The sequence below is a fragment of the Homo sapiens genome, chromosome 22 (genome assembly GCF_000001405.40).
Source record: "Homo sapiens chromosome 22, GRCh38.p14 Primary Assembly".
Lineage (NCBI taxonomy): Eukaryota > Metazoa > Chordata > Mammalia > Primates > Hominidae > Homo > Homo sapiens.
In genome coordinates this window covers 20,148,008-20,167,474 of record NC_000022.11, presented here as the reverse complement: position 1 = coordinate 20,167,474, position 19,467 = coordinate 20,148,008, and the positions used below count along the sequence as shown (strand labels likewise).

At 60.7% G+C, this 19,467-nt stretch overlaps 1 protein-coding gene across 8 annotated transcripts, besides 3 other annotated features; it reads left to right on the top strand.

Moving 5' to 3' along the window:
- Positions 10,198-10,435: an enhancer blocking element, noted in NCBI's record as "candidate insulator 22-3; strong CTCF association in K562 cells". NCBI's record gives its function as "blocks activity of the beta-globin HS2 enhancer when located between the enhancer and the Agamma-globin gene promoter in a lentiviral reporter assay in K562 erythroleukemia cells {active_cell/tissue: K562}" and the evidence as "EXISTENCE:reporter gene assay evidence [ECO:0000049][PMID:24098520]".
- Positions 10,198-10,435: an insulator, noted in NCBI's record as "candidate insulator 22-3; strong CTCF association in K562 cells". NCBI's record gives its function as "protects against retroviral vector genotoxicity in a mouse in vivo tumor formation model" and the evidence as "EXISTENCE:in vivo assay evidence [ECO:0000178][PMID:24098520]".
- Positions 11,795-12,089: a silencer, noted in NCBI's record as "tiled region #11686; HepG2 Repressive DNase matched - State 20:ReprD, and K562 Repressive non-DNase unmatched - State 25:Art". NCBI's record gives its function as "represses a minimal TATA promoter and a strong SV40 promoter by Sharpr-MPRA in HepG2 and K562 cells {active_cell/tissue: HepG2 | K562}" and the evidence as "EXISTENCE:reporter gene assay evidence [ECO:0000049][PMID:27701403]".
- Positions 16,420-19,059, top strand: CCDC188 (coiled-coil domain containing 188). Of its 8 annotated transcripts, NM_001365892.2 has the most exons (9): positions 16,420-17,007; positions 17,225-17,332; positions 17,416-17,520; positions 17,695-17,751; positions 17,835-17,894; positions 17,999-18,063; positions 18,231-18,288; positions 18,551-18,600; positions 18,675-19,059. In NM_001365892.2, exons 1-9 carry the CDS (start codon positions 16,489-16,491, stop codon positions 18,859-18,861), a joined length of 1,209 nt encoding a protein of 402 aa, NP_001352821.1. In that variant the 5' UTR covers positions 16,420-16,488; the 3' UTR covers positions 18,862-19,059. The 8 variants fall into 8 exon arrangements, with proteins under 8 accessions (NP_001352821.1, XP_005261295.1, XP_047297314.1 ...); XM_005261238.4 differs by lacking the exon at positions 18,551-18,600; XM_047441358.1 differs by having other exon boundaries at positions 17,416-17,751.

The window sequence follows — 19,467 nt, the reverse complement described above, 5'->3', positions numbered from 1 at the left end:
CACCCGGTGATTTCTGTGCCATCAGTGGTCCTGCCCGAAGCCATCATTACCACTGTGGTTAGAATAGAGTTGTGGCCTCCAGAGCCCACCCATCCCTGCGCGGCCCCAGGGTGATCCAGGAGTCCTTCTTTTTTTTTATTTTTTATTTTTTTATTTTGAGACTGGCTCTCACTCTGTCACCTAGACTGGAGTGCAGTGGCACAATCATGACTTTTACTGCAGCCTCCAATTCCTGGGCTCACCTCCTGAGTAGCTGGGATTACAGGCACTTGCTGCCACACCCAGCTAATTATTTTTCATACAGACAGGGCCTTCTATGCCTGTTGCACAGGCAGGCTTTCAGCAGTCCTCCCATCTCAGCCTCCCAAACTGCTAGGGTTACAAGTATGGCCACCGTGCCTGGCCCCATCAGGACCCCAGGGTGGTCACGAGCCCTTCAGACTTTTTCTCCCCTTCTCTCCTCTGGGTCTTTGCGGGTGAGCACCCGGCATCCCTGAGATGCGAAGTGCCAGGGTCCCTCATCCTTGGTGTCCAGGCCAGCATATCCACTCAGGGCCTCGTGGCAGGCCATGTCTGGACAGCCTCAGCCTGATAGGGGACCAGGTGGCTTCGGGGGGTCTGGAAGCTGTGACAACTCAGGATGGTCCTGTTCAGAGGATGAGGTGAGGGAGCCGCACGGTGGTGTCAGCTGGGAGGCATGGCAGACAGGGCAAGGAACCAGGATTGGAGAAACTGGCTTATGTGAGGGGCAGTAGGTCCCCAGGTCCTGCCCCAACCTGGGCTCCTGGTAGCTCCCAGCCACTGTCCAGGACTGCAGAGTCAGTAGCCTAAGGGTGGAGGGAGCAGGCCTGCTCTGCCTGGAATCACCTTCTTCATCCCCCTGCAGCTGAAGGCTTCACACCAATAAACACATGAGGCGGCAAAGATTAGGGTAGTGCCAAGCAACCACTCACACTTTAGTGAGAATTGGTGGATGGAGTAGCCCTGGGCTAGATCTCAGGAACATGGCAGGTCAAGTTGAATGGTAGAGGGGGTTCACCAAAGGCCTGGAGTGGCTGGGGCAATAGAAGAACCAGAGACTGGTCCATGGGTCAGATAATACCCCCCAACACTAGCCCAGATATCCAGAACATCTGCAGGCACAGGGCAGACTCCTGAGCCAACCCCATGGTCATCCACAATCCCAGTGAGGCAGGAAGAGAGACAGGTTCTGCCCACCTGCCCCAATACTAAGAGAGACCCCTGCCTTTGCATGTGCGTGCAGGGTCCTCACCCCGTGTGTGTTGGGGAGGTGGTCCTCACACTCCATACGTGCCACCAGGACACAGTGGGCCCGGGGGGCCAGTCTCAGCCCAGTCGACATGGCCACCCCCAGCACTAAGGTGCCCTCGCTGTGCAGGGCATCAGCAACTTTGATGGGTTTTCATTTAACATTCTCTTTATCACAATTACTTTGAAAACTATTCAGTGCAGTTATTAATCATTGAGTAATTATTATCTGCTCTTATATTAATTATCTGGCCATCGGGAATGTTACCAAGATTTAAAATTTTTAATTGTTAATAATATTTCCTGGACGTGGCAGAGGTTTCCTGCATCTCCACACATTCCCTCCCTGCTCTCGGTGAGGCTGGCTGTGGCTCCCCTGTTGTGGGGAGCGCCCACTCTCGCTGGCACCGCCTGCAGGTTGCCCCCATCAGTTCATCCTGGGCCCTGAGCAGGGCTCTGGGCAGGCCTAGGTGACTGAACCCTCCCTCTAGCTGCCCCCACTGAGCCCTGGGGTGCCCATGCTCACGAGCCCTGTGGCCGATGCAGGTCCTCAGTGGCCCCCAGGATGGGGCCGCCCTGGCACCGAGGCCTGCCGGGATTGCAGTGGGAGGCTGTGAAGCCCCTGCCACTTGAGAGGTGGCATCAGTGGCCTGCTGTGCTAGGTCAGCCCCAGCTGCAGATCCCAGGCTGCTGCGCTCCCACAGGGCCCCCGCCCAGCCCCGCAGCGGTCTCTAGTGTCCTCATCAGCTCTGTGACCAGCAGCCTCAGGGAGCCACAGGAGACAGGAGACCCTCCACTGGGTGCACACAGACAGGCCTGGAGAGGACAGGATGGGCCACATGGACGGCTGGCTGGGGCTGCGGAGCCCAGGGGTGGTGCCGCAGGCACTGGGAGGTGGCGTTATGTGACCACGGCAGCCTAAGACCACCACTGTGGGCCCAAGCTCGCAGCTCGCTTCCCACTATTCTCAGCAAGAGGACACAGGCTACCCCTTGAGGCCAGCCCACAGCTCTCTTACCAGGCAGCACCTTACCGCCCCTCACTGTGTCCTGTCGCTCTGCTCTTGTGGCCTGCTGTGCAGCAGGCACCACGTCACCCGTTCATAGATGAGCAAGCCAAGGCTCGGGGCAGGAGACCAGTGCAGCAGGCTCTCACCACCTCATGGGAGCAGGCTCTGCACACGGCATGCTCTCCAGCCCCTTTGGCTGAGTGCCCAGCCCCGACCCCAAGCTGCCCCGCTGGCTATCCAAGCACTGGGTGGAGTCCGGAGGGGAGAATGGTTAGGTGCCTCCTCTGGGTGGCCCTTCACTTTAGGGAGGCCAGGAGGCTGTGCTCCAACCTAAGTGGAGGTGGTTGTGGCTGCCCCTGCCCCTTCTCCTGCCCCTGCCCCTCCTCCCACCCCTGCCTGCTTCCTCTGCTCCAGCTCAGTCAAGAAGCGTGGGGAGCTGCTGAGACAGAAGGGGGCCGGGGAGAATGCCCACGGCATGAAGTCCTCGAGACCTCCCTGAGCCTCCCCCTCCCCACTCCACAATGCACACCCCATAAAGACCTTTGTCAGGCATCCCCTCCAATGCAATCAGACCAGCGTGGAGCCTCCTGTGCCTGAGGAACTAGTCCCAAGCAATGGCAGCCCTCAAACCCACTGTGGGCTTGTCAGCATGGTGCTGTGACAGTGCTGATGACAGTAGTGAGGATGGGCTCAGTCACAGCGACCATAGTGATGGAGGTGTGGTGATGGTGATGGTGATGGTGATGGTGATGGTGATGGTAACGATGGTGATGGTGGTGGTGATAGTGATGGTGATGGTGGTGGTGGTGGTGATGGTGATGGTGATGGTAACGATGGTGATGGTGGTGGTGATAGTGATGGTGATGGTGGTGGTGGTGATGGTGGTGGTGGTGGTAGTGATGGTGATGGTGGTGGTTCTGATGATGGTGGTGGTGATGGTGGTTGTGGTGGTGATGGTGGTAGTGATGGTGGTGGTGCTGGTGGTGGTGGTGGTAGTGATGGTGGTGGTGGTGGTGATGGTGGTGGTGGTGGTAGTGGTGGTAGTGATGGTGGTGGTGGTGGTAGTGATGGTGGTGGTGGTGGCAGTGGTAGTGATGGTGGGGATAGTGATGGTGGTGATGGTGGTAGTGATGGTGGTGGTGGTAGTGATGGTGGTGGTGGTGGTAGTGATGGTGGTGGTGGTGGTGGTGGTAGTGATGGTGATGGTGGTGGTGGTGGTGGTAGTGATGGTGATGGTGGTGGTGGTGGTAGTGATGGCAGTGGTGGTGGTGGAAGTGATGGTGATGGTGGTGGTGGTAGTGATGGTGGTGGTGGTGGTGGTAGTGATGGTGGTGGTGGTGGTGATGGTGGTAGTGGTGGGGTGGTGGTAGTGATGGTGATGGTGGTGGTGGTGGTAGTGATGGCAGTGGTGGTGGTGGAAGTGATGGTGATGGTGGTGGTGGTAGTGATGGTGGTGGTGGTGGTGGTAGTGATGGTGGTGGTGGTGGTGATGGTGATGGTGGTGGTGGTGGTAGTGATGGTGGTGGTGGTGGTGGTGGTGATGGTGATGGTGGTGGTGGTAGTGATGGTGGTGGTGGTGGTGGTAGTGATGGTGGTGGTGGTGGTGGTGATGGTGGTAGTGATGGTGGTGGTGGTGGTGGTAGTGATGGTGGTCCTGGTGGTAGTGGTGGTAGTGATGGTGGTGGTGGTGGTGGTGGAAGTGATGGTGATGGTGGTGGTGGTGGTGGTAGTGATGGTGGTGGTGGTGGTGGTGGAAGTGATGGTGATGGTGGTGGTGGTGGTGGTAGTGATGGTGGTGGTGGTGGTGGTGGAAGTGATGGTGATGGTGGTGGTGGTGGTGGTAGTGATGGTGGTAGTGGTGATGGTGGTAGTGATGGTGGTTGTAGTGATGGTGGTGGTGATGGTGGTGATGGTGGTAGTGATGGTGGTGGTGGTGGTGGTAGTGATGGTGATGGTGGTGGTGGTGATGGTGGTGGTGGTGGTGATGGTGGTAGTGATGGTGATGGTGGTGGTGGTGGTAGTGATGGTGGTGGTGGTGGTGGTAGTGATGGTGGTGGTGGTGGTAGTGATGGTGGTGGTGGTGGTGGTAGTGATGGTGGTGGTGGTGGTGGTGGTGGTAGTGATGGTGGTGGTGGTGGTGATGGTGGTGGTGGTAGTGATGGTGATGGTGGTGGTGGTGATGGTGGTGGTGGTGGTGATGGTGGTAGTGATGGTGATGGTGGTGGTGGTGGTAGTGATGGTGGTGGTGGTGGTGGTGGTAGTGATGGTGGTGGTGGTGGTAGTGATGGTGGTGGTGGTGGTGGTAGTGATGGTGGTGGTGGTGGTGGTGGTAGTGATGGTGGTGGTGGTGGTGATGGTGGTGGTGGTAGTGATGGTGGTGGTGGTGGTGGTAGTGATGGTGGTGGTGGTGGTGGTAGTGATGGTGGTGGTGGTGGTGATGGTGGTGGTGGTAGTGATGGTGGTGGTGGTGGTGGTGGCAGTGATGGTGGTGGTGGTGGTAGTGATGGTGGTGGTGGTGGTGGTGGCAGTGATGGTGGTGGTAGTGGTAGTGATGGTGGTGGTGGTGGTAGTGATGGTGGTGGTGGTGGTGGTGGTGGTGATGATGGTGGTGGTGGTGGTGGTAGTGATGGTGGTGGTGGTGGTGGTGGTAGTGATGGTGATGGTGGTAGTGATGGTGGTGGTGGTAGTGATGGTGGTGGTGGTGGTGGTGGTAGTGATGGTGATGGTGGTGGTGATGGTGATGGTGGTGGTGGTGATGGTGGTAGTGATGGTTATGGTGGTGGTCGTAGTGATGGTGGTGGTGGTGGTAGTGGTTGTAGTGATGGTGGTGGTGGTGGTGGTGGTGGTAGTGATGGTGGTGGTAGTGATGGTGATGGTGGTGGTGGTGGTGGTGGTAGTGATGGTGGTGGTGATGGTGATGGTGGTGGTGGTGGTAGTGATGGTGATGGTGGTGGTGGTGGTAGTGATCGTGGTGGTGGTGGTGGTAGTGATGGTGGTGGTGGTAGTGATGGTGGTGGTGGTGGTGATGGTGGTGGTAGTCATGGTGGCGGTGGTGGTGGCAGTGATGGTGATGGTGGTGGTGGTGGTGGTGATGCTGGTGGAGCTGACCATGATGGTGGTTATGGCCATGCTCATGGTGACAGTGGTGATGATGTAAGTGGATTATCCACCCAGAGTTTCCTGGAAAAACAATTTCTGTGCTTCTCCAGGGCTGCCTGGTCCCTCCCTGCCTGGGGTTGGTCCCCAGAGGCAGGAAGAGCAGAGCGTGGACTGAGCCTGACAGGGCAGTCAGTATCTTGAGCTCGCAGAGAACATTTAATCTTAGTTAAAAGTAAATAAGTTCAATTACTGGGAGGGGAAGAAGGGCCCAGTATTTACCGCGAGCATGTGGAGTGATTACTCCAGGAGGTTCCCTCGGGATGCCAGGCTCCATCCCCACTCCTGTCAGGTTCACCCGTGGCAGGTGGGAGGGAACAGCATGGGCCCACCCTGCCCTTGGGCCCCCGGAGGGGCATCTCCCTCCTACCCCCCAGGGCAGGGGCTGCAGCATTGGCAATGCCCCCTTCCCTCCCCCAGCCCCCAACTCTTGGCAGTGTCCTGGCCCACGGACCCCTGGATTCCTGCATGTGGGCACACCTCAGCCCGTGGCAGGACACCCCCAGGCCCTCACTGGCTCTGTTGCTCACCTGCTGTGTTACCTCAGAGGAACCCTGCCCCTCTTTGAGCCCCTGTCCTCACCTGGGAAATGGGTGATAAAGGCAGGTGCCGGGGGATGGAGGTTGGTGCTGGTGGTCAGTGTCCCTGTGACAATGACCTATTGGCTATGCAGAAGGTGGGCCTCATCTTCTGAACTCAAGGAGTCCTCCATGAGCACAGCCCTCAGCCACCAAGATCCCCCAAACTCCCATAGTTCCTGAATCTCCACGGCCCAGTTCTGAGACAAGAGCCCTGGGGCTTGAGGCCCCTCAGGCAGGGCGCGGTGACAGCCCGTCGGAAGAAGGGCTTCCTCCTGCCCATCCTGGCTGGGCGCTGTGCTAGGCTGCAGGAGCCTGCATTGGGGTGGAACAGCTTTCAGGGGAGACAGAGTCAGATCCAAGGTCAACTGCCCAGCTCAGCCCAGGACTCTAGCCCTTTGCAACAAGATGGGCCAGGCCCCTCGCTGGAGTCTGCTCAGCAAGGGGCCTGTGGGTCCCTGGGCAAGCACTAGCCGGGTCCTACCCTCAGCCTGGGGCCTCCTTCCAGCCTCCTCCCTGGTGCAGCCCAGCTAGAGCTCGTTCATCCCCTGGGGGCTCCTGCCTCCCCCTTCCCTGGCCCTGCACTGGGTGAGGGCGCATCTCCTAGAACCAGCCCCCCAGAGTCTGCTGAGATTAGGAGACCTGGAGGTTACCCCAGGGACACCCTGCCCCTGTGCCCCAGACGGGTGTCCCCCCAACTATAGGTGATGAATGTCGAGGAGCTGCCATTATCATTAGCGTGAAATGTGCCGCCTCTGCCAGGGAGGAAAATCCCATCTTGGAAATACACCTCAGATGCAAGTTCAATTTCACCCACGGGGCCATAAAACCCTTTTTCCAATCACCTGGTGCTGTTGGGGGCCGGCATCATTAATCCTGGAGATGTTATTTAGAGCCAAGACATCACTTGGGGAAAAAATCAGGTCCACACTCCACCAGGAACCCCTCTCTATTCCCTGCAGAGCCCTCAGGAGATGGACGAGACTGCTCGGGCACCAGGAAGGGAGGGGCAGGGACGCAGCCACCCTCACGGCCCAGGAGTCACGCCTCACTTCATCAGCCCTCATGCCAAAACGCAGACCCTCCCTACCAGAGATGGGCCCGTCGGCAGATGGGAAGACTGAGGCCAGAGAGGGCTGAAGGAGCTGGAGGGCTGGAGGAACTGGTGGGCCAGAGAAGCTGAAGGGCTAGAGGAGCTGGTGGGCTGGAGGAGCTGGAGGGCCGGAGGAGCTGGAGGGCTGGAGGAACTGGTGGGCTGGAGGAGCTGGAGAGCTAGAGGAACTGGAGGGCTGGAGGAGCTGGAGGAACTGGTGGGCTGCAGGAGCTGGTGGGCCGGCCGGCCCAGCTCCACTTGCCCTGCCTGCCCCCAGCAGACACTGCCCTCCTCTTCGTCCCCAAAGCCCCCACCCGGCCCAGATCCTCTCCTGAGATCAGTATCATCCCACAGCCTTTTATAAAAAATCGTTTCCTTGATTATCGAGGGTAACAATGAAAACATGTAATTGAATCTCCAAGAAATTACCATTTTTATAACTTGCGCCCAGTTCCCGAGATAAATTAAACGCCTCCCCTGTATGGTGAGCCGCTCACTGCGCATCAGAGAGGGGCTGATACTGCCCTTTATCATCGATGCGGGACTTACTAAGAAGAATGCCTCACACTGCCTCCCGGGAGGCTCCTGGCACCTCCAGCTCACGGCCCTGAGTGGGCAGAGTTGGCCGGCTGGAGACGCCGGGTGGGTGGTCGGTTGGGCCCCCTCCTGATCACTCCTGGCCTAGCTGCTGGCTAGCTGGGTGGTGGTGTGGGTGGTGGGTGGGAGGACTGGTCAGGGTCTTAGTCCAGGCTCCCAGGAAAATCAGGCCTGCGTGCTGGCCAGGCAGCAACAGCTTTCTGAGCAGTGCAACCCTGGAGCCAGAGTAGGAAAAAGGCAGGGAAGCCGGGCAGGAGGAAGGAAGCGGAGATGGCAGAGAGGGAGGATTTACCCACCTGCCCCCCACCTGCTGGCCAAAGCTGATCCCACCCAACTGCGCCAGTGCCCAGAGGACCCATGACATTGCAAGGTCAGGCAGCAGAGCGGCTCTGGGGGAGGCAAGGCCCCGCTGAGGCGAAGCACCTCCTGGCACAGGGTCCGGGAGCAGGTTGGGGCAGCAGGGTGGCCACACCCACCCAAGGAGCTGCTGGGTTGGTCAGCAGAGGGGCGGGGAGGTGGGGCCAGCTCCTGGGATGGGCTGTCCATCTGTGAGCGGCTGGTAGTGGGTTTCCTGCTGGCAGTTGCTAGCAGCTGGGTTCTCGTGGCTGTTTGGCTGGCTGGGGGCCGTTTGGGTTGTGGGGAAGCAGAAGGCTCCAGCCTGTGGATTCAGTTTCCTGAAAATGTCTGCAGGCTGCACTCAGCAGAGCCAACTTCAAGCAAAGGACCCAAGAGTGACACTATTCTCGTGCAAACCACCATCCACAGTAGCCGGTTGCCTGAGAGCCCAGAGCCACCCCCTGGGGAACATCCACAGATCAGAACCCTGGCAGTGGTGGTGGCACAGCGAGGAGGGGTGCTGTCAGGGGACAGAGGACCTACTCCCTGAGGATGGGAGAACTGAGGCCCAAAGAGCGGCCTCCCACTTGATCTAGGTGAACTCAGGGTCAAGGGTAACAGGCTGAGGTCACCCAGGAGCCTCAAAGGCTGGCTCTGAAGGTGAGACCTTCTTTTGGGGACGCAGGTGGCCTCGGGTATCCCCTGGCAGCCGGCACAGAGGACTAGAGTCAGGTGGGCCGGGAGGAACACAGTTCAGGAAGGGGCGGGTACCCACACCCACAACTGTGCTCCCACCTTCTCTCCCTCCCCCGCCTGGTCCCTGACTTCCCAGGGTCCCCTCCTCCCGCCACAAGGCCCTGCTGCCCAAGGGCCCACCTGGAGGCTCCAGCGGGGTTTGAAACCCCCACAGTTGGGCAGCAGCACGTAACTTCTCAGCTGTGCTGGGCAGAGGCAAGGGAGGCCCCAGCACCTCTCATCGCAACTCCAACCAACATGGCAATGCGGGGCTGCAGGGGCAGACTGCCTGAGGACAGGGCTGGGCTCAGACCCCAAAGCCCAGGGTTGAGAGAGCCTCTCCTCCACTTTGCAGCCATCCCAGGCCCATTCCTCAGAGCCTGAGGCACCAACTTCCACCTGCTCCCAGCCCCACTCCCACCCAAGCCCCAGATCCCTCATCCCACCAGGATACAGCCCAGCCCACAGCCTGGCTCTAAGAAGTAGGCTTGTCAAGCCTGAGGGCCTCCAAAAGGGCTCTGTCTCCAGGCCCCGGGGAGGGCAGAGGCCCCAGCCCAGGTCAGAAAGGGGCGGAGTGGACGCAGGGCCCCAGAAGGCCAGCACTGAGATCCCTCCCCTGCCATGTCCCCAGTAAACCTCTGGTGTGTCCCCTTGAGGCCCTCATGAGAAGAATAAGGCAAGCAGGGTGGAAATGGTTCGGTCACTCCAGAGCAGTAGCCGTACCCAGCCTCCTGGCCAGCCCTCCTCCCCAGACCAAGGCCCAGGTGGCATCTCCCAGGGCAGTGCCAGTGCCAGCCTCCCGCCCTCCCCTGCTGTGGGGGCCGAGGCAGCAGTTGGAGGTGGGGGCTCCACCTCCCCAGCCTCCATCATTCCCTCTCAGGTGACTCTCCATGTGGTTTGCCTCTTGGAGTCCCTGCAGGGGGACCCTACTGAACTTAAGCTGGCCTCCTGCACGCTGGGAACCCGGCCATCCCTCTGGTTCCTGGTTCTTCCTCCAGATGGGCTCTCTCTTAGCTGAGAGCAGTGCCTACACCCAGGCCACCCTCCGTCCACGGCCTCACTGACCCAGGCCACAGCAGCTGCCACACCCTGGTCAGGGGCAATGGTGACCTTGGACAGGAGCTGGGACCCCTCCCCCAGCCCCAGCTGCCCACTGACAAGTGGGACAACCTGGGGCCAGGCCGGGGCTGCCCGAAGGCTACTATGCTTGGGAAGGCCCCAAGACAGGAGCCCTGCCCCTTGGGAGGGGTGGCAAACGGCCCCGGGACAGTGCCGGGGTGTCTGGGATGATTCGTCTCCATGTGAAATGTGGGATAGACACCCTAGACTCAGCAAGGGAACTTCTGGCTACCTGGCAAGCCCCTGCCCTAGGCCCCATGGGAACTTCGGATCCAAGTGGGGAGGGGGCTCCCCCTAGCACTGCCCCTTCCCTGCCAGAGCTTCGGCTGGGTGGATTCCTCCACCGCAGCCCCCGAGAACCACCTGGCCTGCTCTGGGCACTGCTTCTGCAGGGGCATGGTGCCATCTGGTGGTGAGACTGGGAACTGCACCACAGCTCCAAACGGTACCTGCACATAAGTCCTGGAGACTGAGGGGCAGGCATGGAGGGATTCTGGGGGCCCTGCCTTTCCTCACCTGCCCCTGGTCTCTCCCTCCACCCAGGAGCCTGGTCCTGGGGCACAGAGACAGGCTTCAGGAGCTCACAGCCCAGCACTGTGTTTCCTTCTCCAATGGGCAGCCTAGTCCCCAGCAGGTGCTGGGCGGGCACAGGGCAGTGACGGGGACGGGCAAGGAGTCCTGGCTCTTGGCCCCAGCAAGGACTTTGGAGATGACTTTGTCACCGACCATCAGGCACTCTGCCACGCTGTCCCCCCAGGCTCCACTGTCCGACTAGAAGGTAAGTGGTGGTCAGGGAGTGCCAAGAAGATGGACTGGCCAAGCCGGTGGGCTCCTCAGGGGCAGGGTGTCTCCGGGCCTGGGCAGACAGTTCAGCCCCAGTGACCCTGGAGCCAGAGGCCTGGCAGCCCCAGCATGGCCACTTCCTGGGGCCTTGAAGCCCTGGACACGCCGGCTGACAGTCATTTACTGGGGCTGCATTGTCCATGAGAGGATTTTTCCTTGACATTCTTATATCTCTCTGATTCTTAAATAAAAAATGTGAGAATCCATGTCCAGAGACTCACCCAGGAGGGAGACAAATGGCCTGCCATCGCCTGCACCCTGGGAGCGACTTGGCCATGCTGGGGAGGGGGCAGACAAAGGGTGCGCCCTTACCTCTCTGAGCCTCACCTCTGACATGGGGAAGCCCCAGGGACAGGGAGGTCGTGGGCCCAGCATCCCCAGCACTCTGCCCTTCCCCCCGACCCTGTTTCCAGGACCCGTTTCTCCCAGGTTTTCTGGGACCCCCAACCCTCCACATAGGGCAGCTCTGAGGGCTGGAGAGGGAGCAGATCCTGACAGGCAGCCTGGGTGGGTGTGGGCCAGGAGCCCAGGTTAGAGGGCACAGAGATGGGGTCCTCTGAGGGCTGTGGCTGGCCCAGTGACCCCGAGCTCCATCCATTCAGGGCCTGTTTCCTGGCTTCTGAGATATGCTCGGGAGCAGCCAAGCACAGGCGAGGTGTCTCACACCTGTAATCCTAGCATTTTGAGAGGCTGAGGCGGGCAGATCACTTGAGCCAGGAGTTCAAGACCAGCCTGGGCAACATAGCGAGACCCAGTCTCTACAAAAATAAAACAATAAAGAATTATCTGGGCATGGTGGCACATACCTGTGGTCCCCAATACACGGGAGGCTGAGGTGGGAGGATCCCTTGAGCCCAACTGGAGGCTTCAGTGAGCTGTGATCGCGCCACTGCACTCCAGCCTGGGCAACAGAGTGAGACTCTTTCTTAATAAAAATAGAAAATAAATAAAATGAGCTTGGGGTATGAACATCAAGTCCGCGGTGCAGACAGCAGAACAGCCCCATCTGGCCCCTGCCCTGGGCCGCAGCCTGGCTCCAGCAGGAAGGACTCGGATCTCCATGCTGGGAGTCCCAGCCTCTCCTCCTCTTTGTCCTCCCAGCCCATCCCTGGGCAGCGGAGGAGGGGCAAGGGCATAGGGCGGCCCCTCTGAACCAGGCTCCTCGAGGCCATCTGGACGCCCTGGCAACATGGGCAGGAAGCGGCTTCCATGGCAACTGGCGTCCAGGGAGGCGCTGCCTGGCAACGGGGCCATGGCCCCCCCAGCACGCTGCGCTGGCCACACTTTCCGCCCTCGAGGCCGGGAGTTCCGGCTTCCAGCCAGTGCCCCCGCCGCAACCGCGCCCTGTCCTGCACGACATCCCGGAGCCTGGACCTGAGGCGAACCCCCACGCCCACCCCAATCCAGGACACCGCTTGGCAGGGCGCTTGGCCTTTGTTAGCGTATCTGACCCCGTGAGTGGGGGACCCCAGGGATGGGGATCCAGGGCCGGGGATCCAGGGCCCCATCTCTCCAAGAATCTCCCACCTTTTCGGGCTCAGGGCGATTGGCAAGGACCACAGGGAGGGGTGAGAGGGGCTGGGGGAGGAGGGGCTCTATGGCTGACTGACGGAGCAGCAGTATCCTTCCCCGGCACAGGCCCGGGGAGAGGGGCGGGGGCGTCAGGGAGCTTGGGGTTTCCAGGCCAAGGAGGATGGTGCCCAGGGGCGAGGGTGACGGGAGGACACTGGGCCATCCAGGGTGTCCCGGGCGCCCCCTCAGGGCCACTGGGGAATCTCATCCGGGCCTGGGCACCTACAGTGGGACCTAAGGACCCCGCCCTGCTGTTCGCCCAGGAAGCCAGTGTTGTCTTCCTTATTACAGGAGCCACCTGTCTCTGTGAAGACCTCTCACTCCTCAGCATCCTGGCCCCTGTGGGGCACTTAGCAGGCTGGGGACACACAGAGCAGGTGCAGCCCCCACCCCACTCATTCAGGGACACAGAGAGCAGGGTGCAGCTCCCACCCCACTCACTCAAGGACACAGAGAGCAGAGGGCAGCCCCCACCCCACTCAGGGACACAGAGAGCAGGGGGCAGCCCCCGCCCCACTCACTCAGGGACGCAGAGAGCAGGGGGCAGCCCCCATCCCACTCAGAGATGCAGAGAGCAGGGGGCAGCCCCTGCCCCACTCACTCAGGGACACACAGAGCAGGGTGCAGCCCCCGCCCCACTCACTCAGAGACGCAGAGAGCAGGGTGCAGCCCCTGCCCCATTCACTCAGGGACACAGAGAGCAGGGTGCAACCCCCTCCCCTGCTGCTCAGGGCCTCCTCCACCCCACCCCAGGGCCACCTCGCCTCAGGGCTCCTCCAAGAGGCCTTCCTTAGCCCCCATCCCAAGTTGCCCCATGGGGTTTCGGAGCTCAGCACATCCTGAAACCCATGACATTCCGGCAAAGGATGAACAGGGCAGAGGCCAGGGGAGGGTCCTGGAGGCTACCGCCACCCTCTGGCAGCTAAACAACCTCCAGCAGCCAGGGCCAGGTGTCCAGCCGCCTCTGCTGGGGAGGCCCCACGTGGCACTGAGAACAGGAGAGAGGTCATCTGCAGAGAAGATATTTCGAGACACTTCTTGAGGTGGAGAGCGGAGGCTGACGTAGCAGGACAGCCTGGCGGGAAGAAGGCAAGCGGCTGGCAAGCAGTGGCCTCGTCACTGGTGTGAGGAGACGAGTACTGCGAACAAGCATGGCAGGACAGCAGTGGGAGCTGGTACTGTCCGCACTCCAGACCACAGCCCTGCAGCCCGAGATGCCGCCTGGAGGCAGGAGGCCTCCCTTCCAAGACCTGGCTGTCCGGCTTCCTCAAGTTAACAAGGAAAGAGGAGTGCCCGGCAGCTCTGCCTGTCTCCCCTATAAACAGGGATTGAAAAGAAAGAAAAGCCAGACATTTGAGCACTGAGTCTCATGTGAAGCTCCAAGACTAAACAAACAAAAAAGAACCGCAAGAGAGAAAATGCAGAAAGCAAAAGATTCGCCTCCCCCCAAAGCCACTTTATCCCTAAGAGCAGAACAGAATTCTCTGGAACAAGAAGAGGGGAGCTCAGGGAACAATGGAAATGTCTTGGAAATGAAAAACAGGACTGCTAAAATCCAAAACCAATTTTTTATTTTTATTTATTTATTTATTTTAAAACAGAGTCTGGCTCTGTCACCCAGGCTGGAGGGCAGTGGCTTGATCTCGGCTCACTGCAACCTCCGCCTTCCAGGTTCAAGCCAGTCTCCTGCCTCAGCCTCCCGAGTAGCTGGGATTACATCCGCACACCACCACGTCCAGCAAATTTTTGTACTTTTAGTAGAGACGGGGTTTCACCATGTTGGCTAGGCTGGTCTAGAACTCCTGACCTCAAGTGATCTGCCTGCCTTGGCCTCCCAAAGTGCTGCGACTACAGGCGTGAGCCACTACGTCCGGCCCCAAAACCAATTTTTTAAAAAGCAGAGAGAAAGTGTTTGTGTTTGGGTTCAGGGAAGTCTATCTACAAGCAAAGGTAGAAAGAAGGACTCACAGGATCAATTCAAAAGGCCCAACATTTGACTGACAGGAGTTCCAGAACAAGCAGGAAATGAGAAGAAATGTTATCAAAGAAATGCCCCGTCTCAAGGCAGAATGTGCTCACCAAGTGCCCAGCGTGGTGAGGAAGGAAAGACCCACAGTTGGTGTGACCCCCAGAGGCGCAGGGATCAGAGGGGACCCTGCAGGCTTCCGGGGAGAAGGCTGGCAGCCTGGCCAGCTCTCACCACCAAGGACCACGACCGGCCTTCCAGTCCTGTGGGAAAACGCCCTCGGCCCCAGTTCTCTTCCCAGCCCGAAGTCCAGCAGGTGTGAGGTCAGGGTAAGACGCTTCTAGGCTTGTGAGGCCTCTCAATGTCTCCTCCCACGTCACAGCACACTCCAAAACTCAGTGGCAAAACCACCATGACAGCCCGGGGCTCGATGGTACATGGCCGGCAACTTGGCTAACGTATGGGCCGGTTCTCTGGGGGCCTCGCTGGGCTTGTCCACCCATCTTTAGGCAGCTGGGGACCGGCTGGGACGACAGAAGCCTCTCCTGACCCATGGCCTCTCATCCTGCAGCCCAGCCCAGGCCTCCTGCAGGGAGGACAGTCCCCAGAGCCAAGCAAGAGAGGTCCAGGCCCAGCGCACAAGTGTCGTGCCAACCTCTGCCCACAGCAGCTTAGGAGCAGCCCATTGGCCAAGTGCATCCGAGGCCGGCCCAGAGCCCAGAGGTGGAGACCAGTACCCGCCTCTTGATGTAGGAGGTGAAGTCACCTTGCAGGGGGGCCAGGACACCGGGAGAGGAGGGAACGGGGCTCTTCCTACCATATGAGGACTTCTCCGAGCCAGCTTTCTGAGGGTTAACTGACGGCTGATGGGTTCAAGAAGGAGGACACGGGCACAGGGACTCAGGGGCAGTGAGGGGCAGCAGGGCCGATGGTGTGAGGAGCACCAGGGAGCAGGAGGGAACGGGCCTGGGGCGTGAATCTGGCCCTACTGTCGGATGAGTTCTCTTCCGCCACCCAAATCTGGTCCGACCGTTAACAGCGTGGCCTTCGGCAAGTGACTAAAGGGCTTCCTGCCTCAGCTTTCCCACCCATAAACAGAGGATAACAGGCCAGGCGCGGTGGCTCACGCCTGTAATCCCAGCACTTTGGGAGGTGGAGATGGGTGGATCATGAGGTCAGGAGATCGAGACCATCCTGGCTAACACGGTGAAACCCCGTCTCTACTAAAAATACAAAAAAATTAGCCGGGCGCGGTGACAGGCGCCTGTAGTCCCAGCTACTCGGGAGGCTGAGGCAGGAGAATGGCGTGAACCTGGGAGGCGGAGCTTGCAGTGAGCCGAGATTGCGCCACTGCACTCCAGCCTGGGCGACAGAGCAAGACTCCGTCTCAAAAAAAAAAAAAAAAACAGAGGATAACAATGGCATGTACTGGATCTGGCATAATGTAAATATTCAATACATAGCTAGAAAAGAATGTTTTAAAACCTCAGAGATATATTAGGTGAAAAGCAAAGCTGGGCTACAGGATGACCTCTTCTGTGTGAACCAGGGGCAGGGGACGGCAGCCCACCTCTAGGAGCTTAAAGAGGAAGCTCCTGTCTGCAGGGACAGGAGATAAAGGTGGGAAAAGCTTGGACACCATTTTTATTGTTTGATACTTTTTGAATCCACACTGTGAGTGTGTGTATTATCTGTTTTATAACTAGGCTGGGTGCAGTGGCTCACATCCGTAATCCCAACACTTTCAGATATTGAGGTAAGAGGATCGCTTGAGGCCAGGAGTTTGTGACCAGCCTGGGCAACATAGCGAGACCCTTATCTCTACAAAAAACTTAAAAATTAGCCGGGCATGGTTGCACACATCTGTAGTCCTAGCTACTTGGGAGGCTGAGGTGGGAGGATTGCCTGAGCCCAGGAGTTGGAGGCTGCAATGAGACACCTTGTGCCACTGCACTCCAGCCTGGGTGACAGAGCAAGTCCCCTTCCCATAAAAGAAAGAAAGAAAGAAAACTCGCATGGTGGGTCAGTGGGTCAGAGGCAGTGAGGTCATCAGGCGGGGCAGCTTCAGGACCAGGTGGGAGGGGCCCATTGTGACCGCCCTGGCTGCACCCAGGCCTTTGTGACTGTTGCCTGGGGCAGCCCCCTCAGTAAGAGGGTGGCAGGTTGGGCCAGGCCAGAGCCTGGACCTGGGATCAGGAAGGGGTTGCAGGGAGGGATGGAGGGGCTGAAAACCCTGGGCCCCTGCGGCCACCCCCACCCCCAGTGTCCCCCAACCCCAGCCTCCAGCAGCCATGGAGGAGGCCTGGACCAGCCCTGCCAGGGATTTGTAGGGTGGCCCTGCCTGGGCCCCATCTCCTCTGCTCACTCAGTGCAGTCCCAGAGACCTTTCCCAGTCCCAGGGGCAGGGGGCAGTGGGCCCACAGTGGAGGGCGAGGCTCCCGGGCTCTTTCTGTCCAGCCAGGAGCAGAGAGCGAGAGACACTGAGGGGCCGAGACAAGGAGACCTGGAGGCAGGGCTTGGGTGGGGCTGGCCCCTGCACCCAGGGTCGAACCAGGGGGCTCCCAGGCAGGGGGGATCCATTGGCTCAGGGACCAGACCCTGCCCATGCCCACCCCTGTCACGGGAGGGAGGGGCCCTGGCCTCGCCCAGGGTAGCCCTGTCCCAGCTTCAGTGCGGGCTGCTGGGCTCTGCAGAACAGTCCTTCCTGCAGCTGGAGCAGGAGAACCACAGCCTGGTGAGCACCCCACCCACCGCCCCAGCCCCAGCCCCAGCCCCACCCACCGCCTGGTACCCCTGCCCCAGCCCCAGCCCCACCCACCACCTGGCGCCCCTGCCCCTGCCCCTGCCCCAGCCCCAGCCCCACCCACCACCTGGCGCCCCTGCCCCTGCCCCAGCCCCAGCCGCAGGAGCGGCCATGACAGGCAGCCCCCTCTCTCTGCCCCCCACCCCAGAAAAGGCAGAATCAGGAACTTCGGGAGCAGCTGGGGGCCCTCCTGGGGCCGGGGCAGCAGTTCCTGCCCCTGTGTCCCGAACACTCAAGCTGCACTGCTCTGGCCTGGGTAAATACAGGGCCCAGGGACCCCATGCAGCCAACGCCCCTCTAGCCCGCAGTCTTAGGGCTGATCTGGGGGCTCTCCCACAGCCCCCCGACCCGGCTGGCACGCAGCCCTTGGGGAACAGGGCACCTCTGCAGCTGCTGCGGCGGGAGCTGTGCCAGGGGCAAGAGGCTTTCGTGCAACAGTCCCAGGTGGGCCTGGGGGAGGGGCTGTGGGGGGGGAGGAAGCTTCGTAACAGCACTCCAGGTGGGCCTGAGGGATTCATTAGGGAGGGAGGTCTTCGTGCAGTAGGCCAGTGGGCCCAGCGGGGAGGTACTGGCCACCCTGCTGATGCTGCCCAAGCCCATCCTGGGCCCCACCCTCAGAACGAGCTGCAGCAGATCCGCCTGTGCTTTGAGAGGAAGAAGATGGTCATCACAGAGGTGCCCGCCTGGCTGAGGGGGAGGGGTGCTGGGGGCCCACCCAGTGGGTCCTGCTCCTCAGGCGTGACCCCACCTCCCCCTAGGTGTGGGACAACGTGGCTGAGATGCACATGGCCCTGAACAACCAGGCCACCGGGCTCCTGGTAGGTCCCCACAGGGCAGCACCCAGAAGGACGGGGCCCGGCGGGCGAGAGGCCACGGAGGGCGGGGCGAGGGGCCTGCTGTGCTTACCTCCTCTGGCCCCCAGAACCTCAAGAAGGACATCCGGGGCGTGCTGGACCAGATGGAGGACATCCAGCTGGAGATTCTCAGGTAACACGGGGGCAGGGGCCGGGCCAGCTGAGCAGGGTCTCAGAAGGTGTCCTGGTCAGGACAGGGCAGACCCATCCTTGACCCCCCACCTCCACAGCACCGAGCCAGGGGGTGGGTGCCAGGCTGGGGGTGGAGGGTGTGGGGTCCTGACAGTGAGGCCCCCGCAGGGAGCGGGCCCAGTGCCGCACTCGAGCCAGGAAGGAGAAGCAGATGGCAAGCATGTCGGTGAGCCCCCCACGCCCCACTCTGGGTCTGGAGACCAGCCCCCCACCCAGGGCCCTGCTTGGGCGAGAGGGAGAAATGGGCTCCAGGAGGGCAGGTCCAGGGCAGGGGGCATCGGAAAAGTGGCTGCAGGAGCCTGTCCAGGAGGAAGGGGCCAGGGCTGCGGTGCGGGGAGCCCTGTCTGAGGAGGGTTTCCCAAAGCCAGGGATCCCTGCCCTCAGCCTGGACACTCGGGGTGGGCTCTGATCCAGCCCCTCCCCGACAGAAAGGGAGGCCAAAGCTGGGAAGCTCCAAGGGCCTGGCAGGCCAGCTCTGGTAGGTGACTGCACGGCAGAGCCCAGCCCCCAGGCCCCCCGCGCGCCCCTGCCCCTGACCACCGCCGCCCGCAGGCTGCTGACCCTGAGGCTGCTGCTGGGCGCCCTGCTGGTCTGGACCGCTGCCTACGTGTACGTGGTGAACCCCACACCTTTCGAGGGGCTGGTGCCACCCCTGCTGAGCCGTGCCACCGTCTGGAAGCTCCGGGCCCTGCTGGACCCCTTCCTGCGCCTCAAAGTGGACGGCTTCCTGCCCTTCTAGGCCAGAGGCCCAGCGGCCCCAGCAAGGAGGCCAGGCGACCAGCACTGCCCCGGATGCCCAGTGGCCGTGCCAGCCCCCTGCACATGGCACCACTGTGCACCATCCTTGCCAGAAGCTGCAGAGAAGGGTGGAGGTGGGGTCTGTCCTGAGGGCTGGGCCTGTGGCTGGACATAGAATCATGACATAAGTGGCCGGTGAGCACGTCTCTGTGGAAATTGGGGGAGGGATGCCCAGGCGATCCTGCAGCGAGGGTCCCTCAGGGTGGAGACCCCAGCTCAGGGCCGGCTTCCCACCCCACATCCTACCTGCCCTCCAGAAGGCAGCCCCTCTGCACGGGGCTCTGACCCCCCAAGGCGTCTTAGGAGGGTCTCCACTGAAAGGCAACAGCAGTAAGGACTGGGGGGTCCTCAGGTCTTGCCCCCTGGGCCAGGCCCTCCCAGGGACCTCAGAGGTCAGGTTTTCAGCGCTGAACCTGCTGATCCACTGACCTCATGCCCCTCATGCAACTCCCCTCCCTTCCTGGCCACCACCCTCCCTGCCCAGGTCCTGTCACCTCCCCAACCCAGGGCCCTGTCCGGTCCAGGGGACCACATTGGTAGACAGAGC

What these genes read in the sequence shown, in the direction of transcription:
- CCDC188 (XM_047441357.1), top strand. Translation starts at nt 16,489, where the DNA reads ATGGAGGGGCTGAAAACCCTGGGCCCCTGCGGCCACCCCCACCCCCAG. An exon ending in AGCAGGAGAACCACAGCCTG is followed by an intron (nt 17,008 to 17,224) that starts GTGAGCACCCCA and finishes CCCCCACCCCAG; the next exon opens with AAAAGGCAGAATCAGGAACT. An exon ending in ACCAGGCCACCGGGCTCCTG is followed by an intron (nt 17,895 to 17,998) that starts GTAGGTCCCCAC and finishes TCTGGCCCCCAG; the next exon opens with AACCTCAAGAAGGACATCCG.